Consider the following 17,097-nt stretch of genomic DNA (forward strand, 5'->3'; position numbering starts at 1 on the left):
CTCAACTGGGCTCCACCAAGCAGCCCATGAACCAGGGCCAGCCAGCCAGGTCCAGCCTCACCGTGCAGCCCAGGGGTCCTCTCTCTCCTCCACACCCAGGAAGGAGAAGGGGTAGAAGACCCCCATTTCTTGAGCACTGGAGTGTGCCGGGGAATTGATTTGGTTCATGGGTGTAATAATCCCCAGGACAACTCTACACAGCTCCATGTTTAAGATGAGGAAACAGAGGCTCAGAGAAGTTAAGTGACTTGCCCAAAGTCACACAGCTAGTGAGTTCAAGGAACTAGATTGGAACCCAGGTCTCTCTGACTCCAAACCCATGTTCTTTTCAGGATCCAGGGTTCTGCAACATCCTTAAGGATTAAGGAAGTCTCATAGTACCTGGATGGAGCAAAAAACTTCAAAGTGAAGAGTCTGGGCCCTCTCTGGATCTGTTAAAATGGCCCAGTTCCTAATGAGACACCAGGGTGAGCATGTCTAGGTGAAATGATTCCCCTCAACCCCTTGTTAGGAAAAACCTGCCAAGCTACATGTGTGAGAGGCAGGGCAGAGGGGCCATCCACTCTCACCTCCCAGTGCAGAGCCAGGATCTGACATCAAGGAGAACGAGGGGAGGGGGCAGAGGAACCTGCTTCCCCAGCTGCAGAGGCACTGGACAAAAATCAAAGGCCTTTAACCACCCTCTCCACCACCCACAGATGGTTCTGCGGATGACAGGGCTGTTTAACATCACTTTCTTCAACATCTTTTCACAAGGATTCCAATCATCAGATATTTACATATTACCTCTAATAATCACCACCCAAATACCTCCCACTTCAGCTCCCTTCTCCTCCCCACACCCAGCCACCTTCCTCATATTGGCAATGCTGTTTTCTTCCAAGTAATCAAATGCCAGCGTCGTGACTGTTTGATGGTCTGGCTGGCTTCAAGGACAAGAAGACCATGGAAGGCAGTGCAACCCTCCCTGCTTGTTGGGCACCTGGGCTCAGGGGGGGCAGCGGGAGGAAGCCATGAGAACACCTGGAGCGATCCTTGGAAGGGTCCCATGGGCAGGGCTGCGCAAGGAAAGGCTACTCCCACTGCAGTCTAGAATATTCTGGAGGCTCCAGGGGAGCTCTACTGTTTGTAAGGTCAGGGGCTGCCTGGCGTGACTTTCGGGGTTTAAAGTAGAGAAGTCACACCAAAAGGGGGTGTCTTCTTCAGGGCTCTGGTTTGAGCTGCTTCACTGCAGGGAGAAGCAGGAGAAGCAGCAGAAAGAGAAAGAAAACTCTCTGTCCCTTAAGGCCGAGCATGGATCCGGGAGCATCAAGTGACAAAATGCTTGTATGATTGGCTTGTATGTGATTTGGGCCTAGAGTGCTCTATACTGAGGATGAAAGAGAAAGTAAGGGAGGGAGAAGGAAGGAACAAAAGAGGTGAAGAGGAGCGAGGAGGCACCATACTGAGTATAATACTTGCTGTCTGGTTTTCAAAAGAGCCATTTTCAACAGGACCTCCAAGGGAAGAGAAGGCATTGTATCTTCAAGCCCACCTGATTCTGTCACTAAGATGTGCACTTGTAGGTAGCTAGGGCTGTGAGATGCTGTCAAAACAGCTGACAGAGCAACCACTTTGATATCAAGTCGAGGAGAGAAAAGAATCCCATGTCAGCTCCAAGGCCATATTCTATGGAAGCGAAATTCCCACCCACCCTCATCCCTACCCTAATCTTCTAGGTCCTGGCTGTGGGAAGAGCCCCTAGGCAGGCCATCATAGGATCTGAGGGAGCTGAGGCCCGAGGTACACTTACCCAGAGCTGGAGAAGATGACGGTCAGTGGGGAAGTGTGTGTGTTTGTGGGGTGGGGGGGTGCCTGGAATGGCCCCACCAAAGATGTGTCTCCCAGCCTGCTCCATGGCATTGCACTGCCCACTGCCCCAGACCATCAGACTCCTCTGAGCCTCTGCTTTGTCAACTGACCTCAACCAACTGGGTCACAGACACTGGACTCGCTTCAATTAATACTCATAACTTCTCATAGCTACAGGGAAAGGAGGGCACCTGTTGCCATTCCCACAAGCCTGCCACTAGGGCAGTAAAGTATAATGAAAGCAGGTCCCACTCCAAATTTGCACACATTTATTAGCAAGTGGGCCCCACATCCGCCCGGTCCAGAACTCCATAAAGTTCCAGCCATATGCCCTGTTAGATGTTCCCGTAATGAAAAATGTATCCAAAGTCCCAGCCATCTCCCTATTAGATGTTCCGTTAATGAAGGGTAGAGGCAACAGTATTCCAGTGCAGAACTCATCTGACCTTCTATGGAGTCAAGTAATTGGCCATGCACAAGACTAGAGGGTGTCCTGAATGTGGAGCACTTCTGTAGGCTATTGGACCATTGCATTCTAAGACCTTGTTCAGGCAAGAGTGACAGTACCCGTATTGTATCTCCAGCTAATTATGCATTGTTTATCCTACTGGATCACCCATGAAAAATCGTTTTATACCCATTATGCAAATGAACAAGCCCTCTTGTGCTGATTGGAAATAAAGACAATGGAAACCCTTATAGTTGTCCCTGTACATTGTGGGCTTCTCATGAGTCTTTCCAATGCTAAACACCCATCCATGGAGTATGTAGTGTTTCTATTCACGTTAACTGACTATCCTAGAGTATCCTAGAGTATAGACTCAAAATATGTCCCACTGCCTATTTGAAATATTTTAAAGTAAATCATAGACAATATAGGCATGCTGTTTCAAGAAAAGAACATGATCTGCAAAGCCCAAGGCATTGAAAGTGGCCTTGGGAGTTGGAAATGTGCCTTCTGCCTAAGGAAAGATACAGGCATGATGCGTCATTTCATGAACATTCCTTCATGTCTTTGGACTATGACTGTTCATATGCATGTTCATCTGAGTTTTTTAGTGTCTCCATGGGCCGTTGTTAATGCCCAGAAAAGACTACTCAGACATTTACTTTGAGTTTAAATAATTGGAGTTCAATTTACTAAACTGACACATTCACAACCCTAATTCTCTCTTAAGTGTTTAAGTCTGCTTACAAATCTTTGTTCTGTTGATATCAAGCGGGTTTTAGCAGCTGCTTCTAAGAAGTCTTCGAACATTTGATCGCGTTTACAAACGTAATTAAAGACATCTCAAACAATTTATATTGCCTTTATAAATGTAATGTTTGGAGTGAGTGGTTTCCCTTGGAGGGGGACTGGCTGCAGGAGGGACCTGCTGAGAGGTTTTCCAGGTTCAAGTATTGTGAGGCATCTTGATCTGGTGCTGGTTACATGGATACCGGTTCACTTTGTCATCTCAGGACTTGTCAGAGTATATGATGTACTTCAATAACATCTTTAAAGTCATCTGTTGGATTTCCTTTTAAACTCATTTGCCTGTTTTGAGCAAAATCTCCCTGGGGACATAACTAATTCATTTACAGCTAGTAAATTAAATGTATATATACTGTGAACCTAAAATGCTCTGAAATATTCTAGGACTGAGCATAAGTTTAGTAAGATTTCAATGTAAACTCACACATCTAATTGCTCAATTACATTTTAAATTAGGATGATTAGATTCTCACTTTAATAGGCAAAATTATCTTAGCATTACAAGTAAGTGTATAACAGAAAAATAAAATACTATGGTTTTAATTCCCATAAGCCTGTCTTAACATAACCCCAAATCTCCTGGAGTGAAAAAAATGTACACCCACAAAGAAAAAACATTATCTCAGTTAACTGGGGTGGCTTAGCCCCCAAGAAGGCCGTTATGAGCCCTTCAGTTGAGGTTGCTTAGGATAGGGAATTTCTCCTGGATGTGGTGGCCTAGGGGGACTCCCTAAGTTCTATGTCACAGGCATAAAAAAAAATGAGGGTTTGTCTCCCCAGCTCTTCAGCCCAATCCCTGGATTCTGGTAATCCACACACTCCTTAATTCTTGTCTATGCCTACACAGGGTTGATCATGTGCCTGCATTTGTAGGTTTCAACTCTGACCATATGCACATGTATTCACCCTTTCAACTCTTAGGATTTTTGGAAGTGGGGGGAATCTTGTATTCTTTTGTACTCTTAGGTCTACCAACTCTTGAAGGCATTTATGAGATAATGAATTGAATTTTCACTTGCTTGGTCACAAGGTCCCAGGTCACTTTTCTGAGGTGAGTGGGGAGGGAAGAAAGAATTTTAACCCCCTAGGGCTCAGATCAGCTTGTTCTGGCCTCCACAGTTTCTGTGACTACTCCTCTCTGCTGGCTAGAGTCCAACTCCATCTGCAATGATTGTGATGGAGTCCGGACCCTTCTGAGGAACCTCCCCGCTGAACCCAGCTCCCAAGCGCCATTAACACTGACTCCCTACACCCTGGTTCATCCCGACAGGCTCTGGATTCTTATACATAGAAGACTGCTCAGCAGTCGTCGGAGAGCCGCCAAGTCCGTGACAACCTGTAGGCCCATCACAGCTGACGACATCCAGACAGGCTCTCACTGGCAGACTCATCTCTCGCCTTTCCACGGCAACTTCTATTTTGACCACGCACTCACATGGATCCTTCTCTTATTCACTCCTACAGTTTCCAGCCAGACTGGCCCATGGCGGGAGGTGGCTCTGCGAAAGTAAAGAAAACAGAAGGCAACCAATAGCCAGTGTGGCTTTAACCTGAAGAACAGCTGCATGTTCATTGACTGCTTAGTGCATGCTAAATGTTTCACATGCACTTACTCGATTCATCTTGACAACAGCCCTGTGACGTGGGTGCCTTAGTCCATGTTTTTTTTTTTTTTTGGAGGAGGAAGCTGAAGCACAGAGAGGCTAAGTAATTTGCCCCAGGTCACACAGCCAGTGAATAGTAAGCCAGGATTGGCACACAGGTCTCTAATTTTAATCACTTCACACTTAATCCCTAAATTATATGCTCTTTAATTAGGAGAGGGTTTAGGATTAGCCCAGAGCCAGGCTGCTGCAGGGGAGAGGCCCCCCCCTGCTTAGGGGCTGTTGGGGGGTGGAGCTCCAGCTGTCTCTAGGGAACAAACACAGCTGAGAAGGAGAAAGGGGAGGAGTGTCTTCATCGGAAGACACTAAAGAGAGGAAGCAGTGGGAAGAAGTCTGTCTTGTAACACTCAGGAGAGCTCACCAAGCGCCAGGCACAGCGCTGGGCCCCTTCCATCCTGTACCCTGGCACTCCTCAAACCTCATAACTCGTGCAGTCTTTGAAAAAAGTGAAACACTCTCTGGCTTTTGTATTCATTAACATCTCCAACAAGTGACTACTGCAACTAAAATGAATCAAAGCAAAGGAGGAAGGCAGTGCTTTGTGAACCTCATGTCCTCTGCCCCTTCTCCGAGATGCTGTCCAGACACCCCGCTCCCCAGCCAGGAGTGAATTTCACTGAATCCTCCCTGCAAAGATGCCGACAGATCTGCTCATTCTATAGACAAGGGCATTGATATGCCTGTGGCAGAGGTGGCTTTCAGTGAAGGTCTGTGACCCCAAAGCACAAGGTTTCTAATCATGACCCTATACTGCCTGTTGGGGTGACATGGGCCTCTAGCTGACAGACCACTCAGATGACCAAGAAGCCACATCCCTTGCTAAGTGTCAGAAAATTTGGTTTAAGCTGGCAATTTTCCAGGTTGTATACACTGGGGGAAGCACAGAAAGGGGAATGGCTGAGGCTCAGAGAGGGTAAGTAACTTACCAAGGCCACACAGCAATGGCCTTGTCCATGGTGTGTGGCCTCAGGACTGGAACATAAGTCCTGTCTGCCCCTGTGTCTTCCCTGCCCCCCTCCCACGCCAGCACACACCCCACACCTCTGAGATACCAGCCTGGCCTGCTGAATAAGCTCACGCAGACTGGATTCTGATGAGTGTGTTTCGCTTTGCCTGGCAGGCTGCTTAGTGATTGTTCTAAACCTGCGTGTGGGCTTCTCCACTCCCCCAGTCTTCTATTTCTTTCTTCGCCCCCAATGCTTCCCCATCCCTCACCCTCCCCCCACCAGCACCCAGTACAGCAAGCCACACTCAGCAGGTGTTCAATGAACACTTGCTCTGCCAACGAGGCATTGGACCATCTGTAGGGGGCCGGAGTGGGTGTCAGGCTCCCACCCCCACCCCAGCGCCAGCTCCAGGGCCCAGGACGGGAGTCCCTCTGCAGGTGAGCCTGACAGCACTCAGGCTGCCGTCCCACTTGGGGGAGATTGTAAAGACTGTGACTTCCGGGAGGAAGTGGTTCAGAGGCCCAAGCTGTGTCTGGAAAGTCAGAGGCTTGCTCCAGGCCAGGAAGTCACCCAGCTTGCAACAGGGCCCTCGGGTCCCATCCTCACCCCCTGCCTACAGTCAGGGAAACTCCTGCCAAGCCCTAGAAGGATGTGAGCCCAGACCCCTCTCCAGTGGCAGGCTTCTAAGACCTGGTGCCCAGGAAAGGGAGTTGGTAAACAGCTCAAACTGCCCCACTTTGAATTTAGAAACTGCGGGGAACGTGTGAGCAGTGTGGGCAGCTGGAGAGAAAGGAGTGAAGACGCAGGCTTGGGCTCGTTCACTGGCACAAACTGTGAATCCCTGGCGTCCCTCAGGGAGTCTGGCAATGGGGTTGGGATGGTACCAAGGATTCCTGGTCCTAAGGGCTTTCCCGTTGCTGTTGCCCCGTGAGTCCCACAGTTTACTAACTCGAGTGTGCAGGAGTTGCTTGGGAAACTTGCGGTTCCTGCACTCCCAGCTCCAGAGTCTAACCCGGTAGGTCTTGTGTAAGACCCAGGAATTTGTATTTTCATCGATGAGCCTCCTGACCCCCACCCCCAGGTGATTCGGCACAGGTAGTCTTTGAACTACACCTTGGAAGCACTTTCTTGAGTTTTCTTCTCCAAGGGCTGGAAACACCGGTGCTTAACTAGAAGCGGTCTAGTTGTGAAGGCTGAGGTCCCATCCGCTTGCCGGAGGCCGGCCAGCAGGTCATATGGTTCCAGTGTCTCTGAAGGCGGAGGCTGGTCACTTTGGAAGTGGACCCATCTAGGGCCTGAAGCTGGTTCCTGGGACCCTCCCATCAAGGGCTAGCTGAATGGCCACCACCCCAGGCTGTAGCTATATCTCCTAAGAAGGAACAGAAGAAAGGAAGGGGCCTGGAAAGGTGGGGAGGAACCTGCCACAGAGATTGGAGATGCACTGGGCCCCCAGGAGAGGGGTTATCGTACAGGATAGCAGGGGGACTGGCCTATGCCCCACCCCCGATGCTGACTCCCCTGGGACAGCCCTGTGGGAGATCCTCACGTTGTGCAGAGCTGGGAGGGCTGGATATCAGCTCTTCCCTTCACAGTGGGCAGATGAAGGTTCCAGGAGTTTCCCTCTTAAGCACTGGGATCCTTCCTGCTAGCGCCTTCCTATGCTGTAAGTCATATGTATTAGTCCGTTTTCAGGCTGCTGATAAAGACATACCCAAGACTGGGTAATTTATAAAGAAAAAGAGGTTTAATGGACTCACAGTTCCACATGACTGGGGAGGCCTCACAATCATGGCAGAAGGCAAAAGGCACTTCTTACATGGCAGCAGGCAAGAGAGAATGAGAGCCAAGTGGAAGGGGAAACCCCTTATAAAACCATCAGATCTTGAGAGACTTATTCACTACTAGTACACTATGAGAGAAACCGCGTGATTCAATTATCTCCCACCAGGTCCCTCCCACAACACGTGGGAATTATGGGAACTACAATTCAAGATGAGATTTGGGTGGGGACACAGCCAAACCATATCATCGTATAATGCAACAAATTCTGGTGTCAGTATCAGGAAATGGTGAGCTCCAGCTCCATTGAGTCACTGAGACCCTGGGAAAGACTTCCCACCACCTGGATTCACTGGCCCCACCACCTGCCATCTACAATGAGGAGACTGGATTAAAACAGGAGAAGCAACAACTGATTAATACGGCTGCCCTGAGCAGTGTCTTGAGAAGCACTGGGGTTAAGTGTGGGTCTAGAAAAACAACCAAACACTTACAGACCACGTGCCCAGTACCACTGCAAGCATTTTACAGATATTTATATAAAATTTAATTTAATCTTGTTTAAAAGCTCATTTAATTCCGCAGCAACAACACCATGAAGTCGGTATTAGTACCTCCACTTTACAGATGAGGAAACTGAGGCACAGGATGATTAAGGATCTTGTCCAGGGATTCCCAGTACATGGCACAGCTGGATTCTGCACCTCTGTAGTCTGGCTCTAGACCCTGCCTCTACTCACCTCATTCTTCCTCCAAAACAACACAAAAGCTCATTATGATGACTTAATGGCCGGTGTCTGCCCCCGGCATGGCAGGGACAGAAGAGTACACAAACCTCTTATCAGCCTTTCCTACCACATTTCCAGTCTGCGGTTCTACCACCCATAAACAAGCCCATAGAGAGTAGAAGCAAATGGAGCAAGATCAGAGTGGGCCAGGGAGCACTGGAGCCCAGGCGGGACTGGACTCTTCCATTTGAGTTCACCGCACCACTTCATGCCTCCCCTGGACTGACCAGCATTTGAGCCCAAACCCACAGGGCACTGCTCACCATTCCTCAAAAAATCTCAGCTCGTTCCCACCTCTGGACCTTTGCACATGCTGATGTCTTCCTCAAAAACATCTCCTTTTCTTCAAATTTCATCTCAAATGCCACCTCCTGCAGAAGCTCTTCTAGATTCTCCTCCAACCAAACAGAGCCTGCCCTTTCTCTGGAGCCCCAGGCCAGGGTCCCATCCCACCACCAGCAGAATAGAGGCCACAGCTTCCCAGCTCTGCATGCCCAGCAACGGGTTCTGGCGCATAAGGGATTGAGCGCTCAGTAGGGGATTGAGGCACCAGAAGGAAATGAAAGCCTTCTGAGTTCTGACTCATTCACTGACTCGTTTATTCTATCAGGCTTTTTTCCTTAATTGAAAAAGAAAGAACTGAATTCCATACCTGCCTATAAATAAGGATTTAAAATCACATCAGTCACAAGAGCCCACTGTTTTGTCTCCCAGGGTCTGGGCTGCTGATCAGTTTCCTTTGTTAACCAGATCCGGTTTGTTTATCAACATCAGGCTGTAGAATTTGCAGGTCAGGCCACAAGGGTGTGAACCTTCTGCCATCCCCTCTCCGACAGTTGAGGAAAGAGGAGAAACTATAAATAATGTTCCTCTGCCCTCCAGGAACTTCCAGGCTAACATACAGGCTGGGCATACAAAATAAGTCCGCACCTGTGTGCCCGCCAACGCTGCAGTGGCAGAGGGGCATGCGGTCCACAGCCCCTGCAGAGAGGAAGTGTCTGGGGCAGACCTTGCCAAGCAGCCAAGAGTCTTCTCCATTTTCCCCTTGCTGGTTTTCTTCTCACTTCCCCTTTGTTAGAACTGTCCTCTTCTCTGCAGATCCTTGCTGGGGAGGATAGACAGAGGCAGTGGGGTAGGGAGGCAGGAAAGGTGGGATTTGAAAACACCAGGCTGAGCCAGAGCCTGGAGCAGCCGGGACCTCAGCAACACTGTGGCTGCCCATGGAAACCATCCCAGGTAAGATGATGGTCCCCGGGCTCAGCCAGCAGAGGGCCTAGCTGAGTCAGCATCTGCGCATCAGTGAATGAAGGTGTGAATGAATGGAGTGGAAGCTGGAGATGGGATGTGAAGTATGTGGGTCTCTGCTGGGAACACCTATGAGTCCTTGCCCTTTGCACCTGGCATTTGTGCAAATGACTCACAATCACAAGTGAGTCCTTTCTTTCTTCTGCTTCCTACCTCATCTTTCAACCCCTGACACAACACTACACCTACACATACACATACAGGTGCACACCTACACACATACCCCAGACACATACAGTTGTACACACTCAGAACTAGCAATAGACTCTAGACAACACTTACACTCAATAATACAATAATACCCATACACTAAACACAATAATACACATGCACAAAGCAAACAATGCCTATATCCTTACATGCCTGCACACACACCTACTTGTGCACACACATAACCTCACAAGTGGCACTCATATACATATATGCAGGCATACATTCACAACAGGCAAACAGACATACCTTAAAACACAGCCATTGAATCATGTGTTCATCTTCTCTTTCATCCAGAGGCTTCTTTCCTTTACCCTGGATCTCGCTTTACAATTCACAAAGTGCTTTCCTTTGTTTACTCACTTCCCTAACCTTTTTGAGGATATCCTCTGTGCTAGGCAACACATGGAAGGTGAATAGGAATCAGACCCTACCCTCCAGGAGGTTTCTAGTTTAGTGGAGGAAACAGACACAGACAGTGACAAACATAATCTGGTGTGATCATTCAAATCAAAAGCTGTTTCACTCGAATCAAAAGCTAATTTTTTTTTTTTAGATGAATTCTCACTCTGTCACCCAAGCTGGAGTGCAATGATGTGATCTCGGCTCACTGCAACCTCTGCCTCCCAAGTTCAAATGATTCTCCTGCCTCAGCCTCCCGAGTAGCTGGGATTACAGGCACACACCACCACGCCAGGCTAATTTTTGTATTTTTAGTAGAGATGGGGTTTCACCATTTGGCCAGGCTGGTCTTGAACTCCTGACCTCAGGTGATCCACCTTCCTCCACCTCAGCCTCCCAAAGTGCTGAGATTATAGATGTGAGCCACCGTGCCCAGCCAAAAACTATTTCTTGAGCACCTACTGTGTGCTAGATCCATGCTGAGCTTTGGGAATACAGAAGTACATAAAGGTCTAGTCTCCCTAGCCTCGAGCAACTTTCAGACTGAAGTGGAAAGAGGCAAAGATATAAGTAGAATATGTGCTGTAATGTACACACTACAGCGGCAGCCCAGAAAAGGGAGTGATTAACTTTGGGGAGAGAATCAGAAAGGGTGTCTTAGTATGTTCAGGCTGTTATAACAAAATACCATACACTTGGTAATTTACAAACTACAGAAATTTATTGCTCATAGTTCCGGAAACTAGGAAGTCCGAGATCAGGGGGCCAGCAGATTCAGTGTCTGCTGAGGGTCTGTTCCTCATAGATACGTTCCTCACAGTTCCATCTTCTATAATATGTGTTCTACATGGTGGAAGGGCAAAATGGCTCCCTCCAACCTCTTTATGAGGGCACCAATCCCATTCATGAGGGCAAATCGCACCCCCCACGCCCCTCACCACCACCCCCACCTGCCACATCACCTAATCACCTTCCAAAGGCCCTACCTCTTAATGCCAACATGTTGGGGATTTGATCTGAACACATGAATTTCAGAGGGACAGAAACATCCAGACCACAGCTGAGACCTTCACAGAGAAGGTAGCACTGGTCTTTGTGGGATAAAGGGGAGTTCACGAAAAACATGGGGCAGTTTGGTATTTGATGTAAAACCAAAGCAGAGACCTCAGAGGGGTTCATCAACAGTTCTCCATTCCTGGACTTCACATGTGAGTGTGTGTGACTGCAGGAGGGAGGGAGGTGAGAGTGGGGATCTGGGGTCGAAGATGAGGCTATAAAGATCATCAGAGGCAGAGAACAACATCTGCATGTTACAGCGGAGAAAATTGAGGCTCAAGGAGGTAAATGAGGATGTCTTATTCTTCCACTGGGCTCTTTCCTGCTCTTGGGGCCTGCCACAAATTCTCCTGGCCTTTCTTTCTGAATCAGACAAAGCTGCTTGCTAGTGGCTGAACAAGTTAAAAGCTCAGCGCAGGTGGGAGGCATTACTATTGACTGTGATGATTATTCTCTAAAATCCAGCTTGGCAGGATTTCTGCCTCGGATAATCAGCAGCTCAGCAGGTCCAGCCCAGGGCAATTTGGGCCTTTGAGGCTGAGGGACTCCCAGCCCTTGCTCCAGTCCCCTGCCTGAAGCTGGGGGCAAGCTGGGGGCCTGGTCAGCTGAGTCCAGGAGCCAGCGCCTCCCCTTGGGGATGCCTCACCCTCCCCTTGCTGCTTTTTACCACGATGTGCCTACCCTCAGTCGCCCTCTCATTAAGCTGACCTCCCCCTTCCATGCCAATCATCTCTCCCTCTGGCAACCAGCATTTGCCTCCTCCTCCGAGGTTTCTCCTTCCCTCAGTCTGTGCTGGTGGAAGGGGCGGAGTCATTTTCCTGAAAGGAGTGTTGATTGAGGAAGCACGCGCCTCCCCCAACCAGCCGTGGGTCTCAGGCAAGCCACTCCCCTCTCCAGGCCTCAGTTTTCTCATCTATAAACAGGGCCCACCATTTCCTACAGTCTCACACTAGCCACCCCACATGGCACCTGAGGGCATCTGAGTTTGAGATCCCTGGACTAACTGGTCTCAAAGGTGCCATAAAGCGAGTCTCTGGGTTTCTGTGGCTCTGGATCATGGGACAGGCAAGAGAGAGATGACTGGGCTGGGCTGAGAGGCCAGGTACTGCAGGCAACTGATCCAGTGCAGGCCACTCACCCAGGGTCTTCCTTCCCCAGTCCAGATTCGCGGCATCTCCCACCTGCATTTTGCCCCGGCCTCCTCCTGCTCTCTCCGCCCCCAGCACCTCCTGCTCTAGTCTGTGCTGTCTCATCAGGGTTCCTCTTAAAAAACTCAGATTGGATTCTGCTATTCTGTTGCTGGACAGCACCACCTATTTGCCCTAACTCCTTACTTGGCATTCAAGGCCCCTCCCAAGCCAGCCCCTGCCTACCTTCCTGGCCTTATCTCCCATTTCCCCTCACCCTCACCCTCAACTTCCTTAGTGCCACCCGGCCCATGAAGCCCCATCCTGTGTGGTGGCCATACCTTTGCATACACTAATCCCCCCACCTGGAATTCCTTCTCAGCCTTCTCCACTCAGAAAAGCCTTCAAGGCCTTGTCCCACGTTGCCTCCTCTGGGAAGCTGTCCCTGACTGTCCCTGGGTGGAGGCAGAGGCATACCTCAGCTAGAACAAGTGCCAGGTGATAGTGGAGTTAGGTGTGTAAGCTCCTCCTCCTAAACAATGAGCACCTAATAGAGGCCACAGCTTGAGCAGCAGGGCAGTAGCCCTGCCCTGGTCACCTTTTGTCTTCAGAGCCCAGAAAGGAGGCTGGACATAGTGAGCAGGTGGTCAGTACACCTTTGCTGTAGGAATAAACAACAAATAATGTGTTAGGCATTGCCCCACTCCACCTAACTCATTTAAAGTTCAAGAGGCAGGAAGATGTACACAGGTGAAGCCCCACACTGCGGAACAGTGATTCCCTTCTTCCCCTATTTGCAGAAGTCTAACCATTTACAAAGCACCTTGCAGCCCTCCCCAGCGAGCCCCTGCAAATAGTGCAGACCTCTCATTTATTATCTCTATGTTGCAAAGGAGGCCCAGAGAAGCAGAGACTGGCCAGAGGCCCCTGACTGGAGGTGGTGGAGTTCTACACAAGCCATGGCCTCCCTGGAGACACTGCTCCCTGCTGCTTGTCCAGCTGCAGGCTGCCTCCCTCCCTCCCTCTCAGGGTGGCTGCGGGCCTCTGTCTTTCTCTTGTCACGCAATGTGTATTTGAATCCATCTGGTTGCTTCTCTGAGTCTCTCTTTGTCTTCTTGTGTTTCTCTCTTACCTCAATTATTTATATTTCTGTCTCCAGCTCTCCGGGCTCCCACTCTTCTTCTGTGTGTTGGCCTTTGCCTTCTCTCTCTCTCTTTCTCTTTCTTTCTCTGTCTCCCTCTCTGTCTCTATCTGTTCCTTTCCCTCCATTTATCTTTTTCCTTCGCCTGAGCCTGTCTCTGTCCACCCTTCCCTCCATAATTAGCCTCACTTCTAGCTTTTACTCTTGGGCCCACTCTCGGGTGGGGGTGGGCAGGGGACAAGGAGGGAACATCTTTCCAGCATGCAGAAAATGGACCAATTAAAGCCACAATGCTGCTCAGGCAACTGAACAAGAAGGAAGCAAAAATAGCCCCAGGCGGGTCGAGCTGGAAAGAGGCACAGAGAAAAAGACAGAACGGGCGAAATGAATGCAGAGGCCAAAGTCACAGTCGGGCCATCGAGGGGGAAGCTCCTTCCCACCCATATCTGGAAGCTGGACTCCGGCTGCAGCATGGCAGGGTGGACCTGCCTCATCCTCAACCCTGGCCCAACCCTTTATCTCACCTGAGGACACCCTGGAGCCTGCCAGACCTCTCTGGAATCCCAGAGGTCCTGAGCTTCCTCCCAAGTTGACGCCCACCTCCTATCTCTGGACCCCTTCCCACCAAGTGGCCCAGGGGTGCTGGGAGAGGCATCCACCCCACCCTGTCTAAGCCTGGCTTTCATCCATCCTCAGGTCCCCAGGAATCCAAGGCCTGCTCTATACGGGATACTCGAGGGTTGTAGACAGAATGGTGAGGCAATGGTATGCTTAGCAAATGCCATCCCCCACCCAAGGAGCTCACAGGCTGTGGGGAAAACCAAGCAAAGAAACAGGCAGAAAAAACACACCTCGCCACACTAAGCACAGCCTGGGGAGTCCAGAAAGGGGGCTCAAGGAATTGATATCTGCCCCCAGCCTGCAGAGCCTGCAAGGGGAGCCTGCGCAGAGTAGGCAGTGAGGGCTGGAGATGAGCCTGATCAGAGGAAAACACAGGGAGCCCTCAGGAAAATGAGAGAACTCCCATGAGGCCACGGAGGAGTTGGGGGAGAAGAATGTGAGGGCTGCGCTTTGTCCAGGACAAGGTCTTGGAAGTTATTCTCAGAGCACTGGGGAGCCAGGAAGGGTTTTATGCAGGGGAGGGCAACATGATGTGCTCCTTTTTCTTGTTTGTTTGTTTGAGACAAGGTCTCACTCTGTGTTGCAGGCTGGAGTGCAGTCATGTGACCGTCACCTCACTGTAGCCTCAACCTCCCTGGGCTCAGGCGATCCTCCCAACTCAGCCTCTGGAGTAGCTGGGACTACAGGTGCACACCACCATGCCCGGCTAATTTTTGTATTTTTTTGTAGAGCCAGTTTCACCATGTTGCCCAGGTTGGTCTCGAACTCCTGGGCTCATGTGATCCACCCACCTTGGCTTCTCAAAGTGCTGGGATTACGGGTGTGAGCCATCACACCCGGCCATAATATGTTCCTTTATGGAGATTCCACTGCCTGCAGGGAGGGGAAGATGGATGAGGCTAAAGCAAGGAGAGCAGGCCGGATGCTACTGCAAAGCACTGGGGAAGAGCCAATGGGCCCTAAAATGGCAGTGGCTGTGAGATGGAGGGAATGCAGGATATGGGAGATGAGGTAAGGTGAGGTCGGGGAACCCAGCCAGAGTGACTAGGCCCCTCCTCAGCTGGAACCACTTCAGTACATAGGAATGGCTCACAGACTTTGAGCCATCTGAGGGCAGATTTCCATCCTTTTTGTACCCAGCCCACAGCCTGTGGCCTGGAACATATTAATGCTAAAAATATTTGTTAGATGAGTGAGTTACTCAATCCATCATTCCCCAGCTGGCCTCCAAGGCCAGGGCTGTGACCTGGCCCAGTTCCTCCCTGGCTTTCTCCCCAGCCCTCTTTCACGTCCTACTCCCTGCCCTCCAGCAGGCTGGATTCCCTGAAATTGCCTGGATTCATTCCATTTCTCTGCCTGGCTCATTTGATTGTGTCCTAGAACACTCTCCTCTCATTTTCACATGCCCAAGTCCTACCCACTCGTCAAGATCCAGTTCCAGTGCCCCCTCCTACATGCAGCCCTACCTTCCTCTCTTCCCTCCAGGTGCTCAGAGCACATGACCTGGGCCTCTCTTATGGCAGGGGCCACAGTGGGCCTCCTGTATTGTTCTCCACGCCTATGCTAGAATCCCTGTATACACTCAGAGCAGCTTTAGGGCAGAAATCTGGGTCTGATTCTACAGTCTTCAGGACAGGCCTGCCCCAGAGAGAGGTCTCCATGAAGACTTAATAGAAGAAGGAAGGAAGGGAGGGAGGGGAGGGGAGAGTAGACGTGTCTGTGCTGGCCATGTGTGTCAGCCAGGGGGCGAGGGAGGCTTGAATTGCTTTAGCTTCTGATGCATAAGCCATTCCTCCATCAGCTCTGCCACTCCCTGCTTGGGTGTGCCCACAATGTGGTTCTGGTTTTCTGAGCCTGATCTATACCTTACACCAAACCTGACATTAACATCAGAAATCCTGATTTTCTTCTTTCGCTAAAACCCACTGCGACTTCAACCTCACTGTTTCTGCTAGTCACAGAAATATATGGATGGATGGATGGATGGATGGACAGATGGATGAATAGATGGACAGATGGATGGCTGAATGGATGGACAGATGGATGGATAGATGGATGGATGGAAGGATGGATGGATGGATGGATGGATGGATGGATGGATGGATGGAGAATTGGTTGAATGGATGGAGTGAATGACCAAATTAATGACTAAGAGGAAATCATCCAAGAACTATGAATGATGGACCATAGGTGATGGGCTACCAGAATTTGGTGAACCTCAGTCAAATTCTGGCTATGTGTTCATTTATTCACCTGGCATTAATGGAGCACCTGCCATGTGTAAAACATTATGGTAGACCCCAGGAATCTAAACGTGGTCCCTGTCCCCATACAGCTTATAGTCTAGTGAAGGAGTCAGACAAAAAAACTGAGGAATTACCAAGATAATATAATGGGATAAAAAATATGACAGAGAACATGTGGGAAGCTGCCTGGAGCATCACTCATTCCAGAGCATCTGGGAAGGCTTCCTGGAAGAAGCGACATCTAAACTGTGAAAGGCAGGACTGATGAGTACAGGGTAGGGAGTGTGAATGAGGCTGGCAGAGGGAACAGTGTGTGTAAAGGGCAAGGAGCAAAGTTCAATCAGGGGCACGGAGCACTGGGGACAGTAGATGAAGCAGAAGAGGAAGACAGGAGCCAGATCTTTCAGGCCCTCGTGGGCTCCAAAGGAGTTCAGGCTCTGTCCTAAAACAGGAGGAATCCCTTGCAAGGTGTCAAACATGAATGCAGGAAGACTATTAATTGGAAAATGTGTATCAAAATTTCTTCTGTTAAGCAGAAAGATTATTTTCTTCTGGTGTTTTCCCATAAATAACACTGTGCTACATCTATAAATCACCTGGGAAATTTAAAAGCAGGAAACCTTGTACTGCTTTTCTTGGCGATGAAAAACCAAGAAAATGAAAACAGAATTAACCTCTTAGCCTGAAATGTAACGTTTCTCATTG

At 49.7% G+C, this 17,097-nt stretch overlaps 6 annotated features.

Moving 5' to 3' along the window:
• Positions 493-1,108: an enhancer, noted in NCBI's record as "H3K4me1 hESC enhancer chr11:45096169-45096784 (GRCh37/hg19 assembly coordinates)". NCBI's record gives its function as "activates a minimal SCP1, AML or CMV promoter by ChIP-STARR-seq in primed H9 embryonic stem cells {active_cell/tissue: H9 hESC(primed)}" and the evidence as "EXISTENCE:reporter gene assay evidence [ECO:0000049][PMID:30033119]".
• Positions 1,109-1,723: an enhancer, noted in NCBI's record as "NANOG-H3K4me1 hESC enhancer chr11:45096785-45097399 (GRCh37/hg19 assembly coordinates)". NCBI's record gives its function as "activates a minimal SCP1, AML or CMV promoter by ChIP-STARR-seq in primed H9 embryonic stem cells {active_cell/tissue: H9 hESC(primed)}" and the evidence as "EXISTENCE:reporter gene assay evidence [ECO:0000049][PMID:30033119]".
• Positions 5,944-6,013: a silencer, noted in NCBI's record as "silent region_3283". NCBI's record gives its function as "represses an Ori minimal core promoter by ATAC-STARR-seq in GM12878 lymphoblastoid cells {active_cell/tissue: GM12878}" and the evidence as "EXISTENCE:reporter gene assay evidence [ECO:0000049][PMID:35858748]".
• Positions 8,129-9,006: an enhancer, noted in NCBI's record as "NANOG-H3K27ac-H3K4me1 hESC enhancer chr11:45103805-45104682 (GRCh37/hg19 assembly coordinates)". NCBI's record gives its function as "activates a minimal SCP1, AML or CMV promoter by ChIP-STARR-seq in primed H9 embryonic stem cells {active_cell/tissue: H9 hESC(primed)}" and the evidence as "EXISTENCE:reporter gene assay evidence [ECO:0000049][PMID:30033119]".
• Positions 9,007-9,882: an enhancer, noted in NCBI's record as "NANOG-H3K27ac-H3K4me1 hESC enhancer chr11:45104683-45105558 (GRCh37/hg19 assembly coordinates)". NCBI's record gives its function as "activates a minimal SCP1, AML or CMV promoter by ChIP-STARR-seq in naive H9 embryonic stem cells {active_cell/tissue: H9 hESC(naive)}" and the evidence as "EXISTENCE:reporter gene assay evidence [ECO:0000049][PMID:30033119]".
• Positions 13,141-13,877: an enhancer, noted in NCBI's record as "H3K4me1 hESC enhancer chr11:45108817-45109553 (GRCh37/hg19 assembly coordinates)". NCBI's record gives its function as "activates a minimal SCP1, AML or CMV promoter by ChIP-STARR-seq in primed H9 embryonic stem cells {active_cell/tissue: H9 hESC(primed)}" and the evidence as "EXISTENCE:reporter gene assay evidence [ECO:0000049][PMID:30033119]".

Source organism: Homo sapiens, chromosome 11 (genome assembly GCF_000001405.40).
Source record: "Homo sapiens chromosome 11, GRCh38.p14 Primary Assembly".
Taxonomy (NCBI): domain Eukaryota; kingdom Metazoa; phylum Chordata; class Mammalia; order Primates; family Hominidae; genus Homo; species Homo sapiens.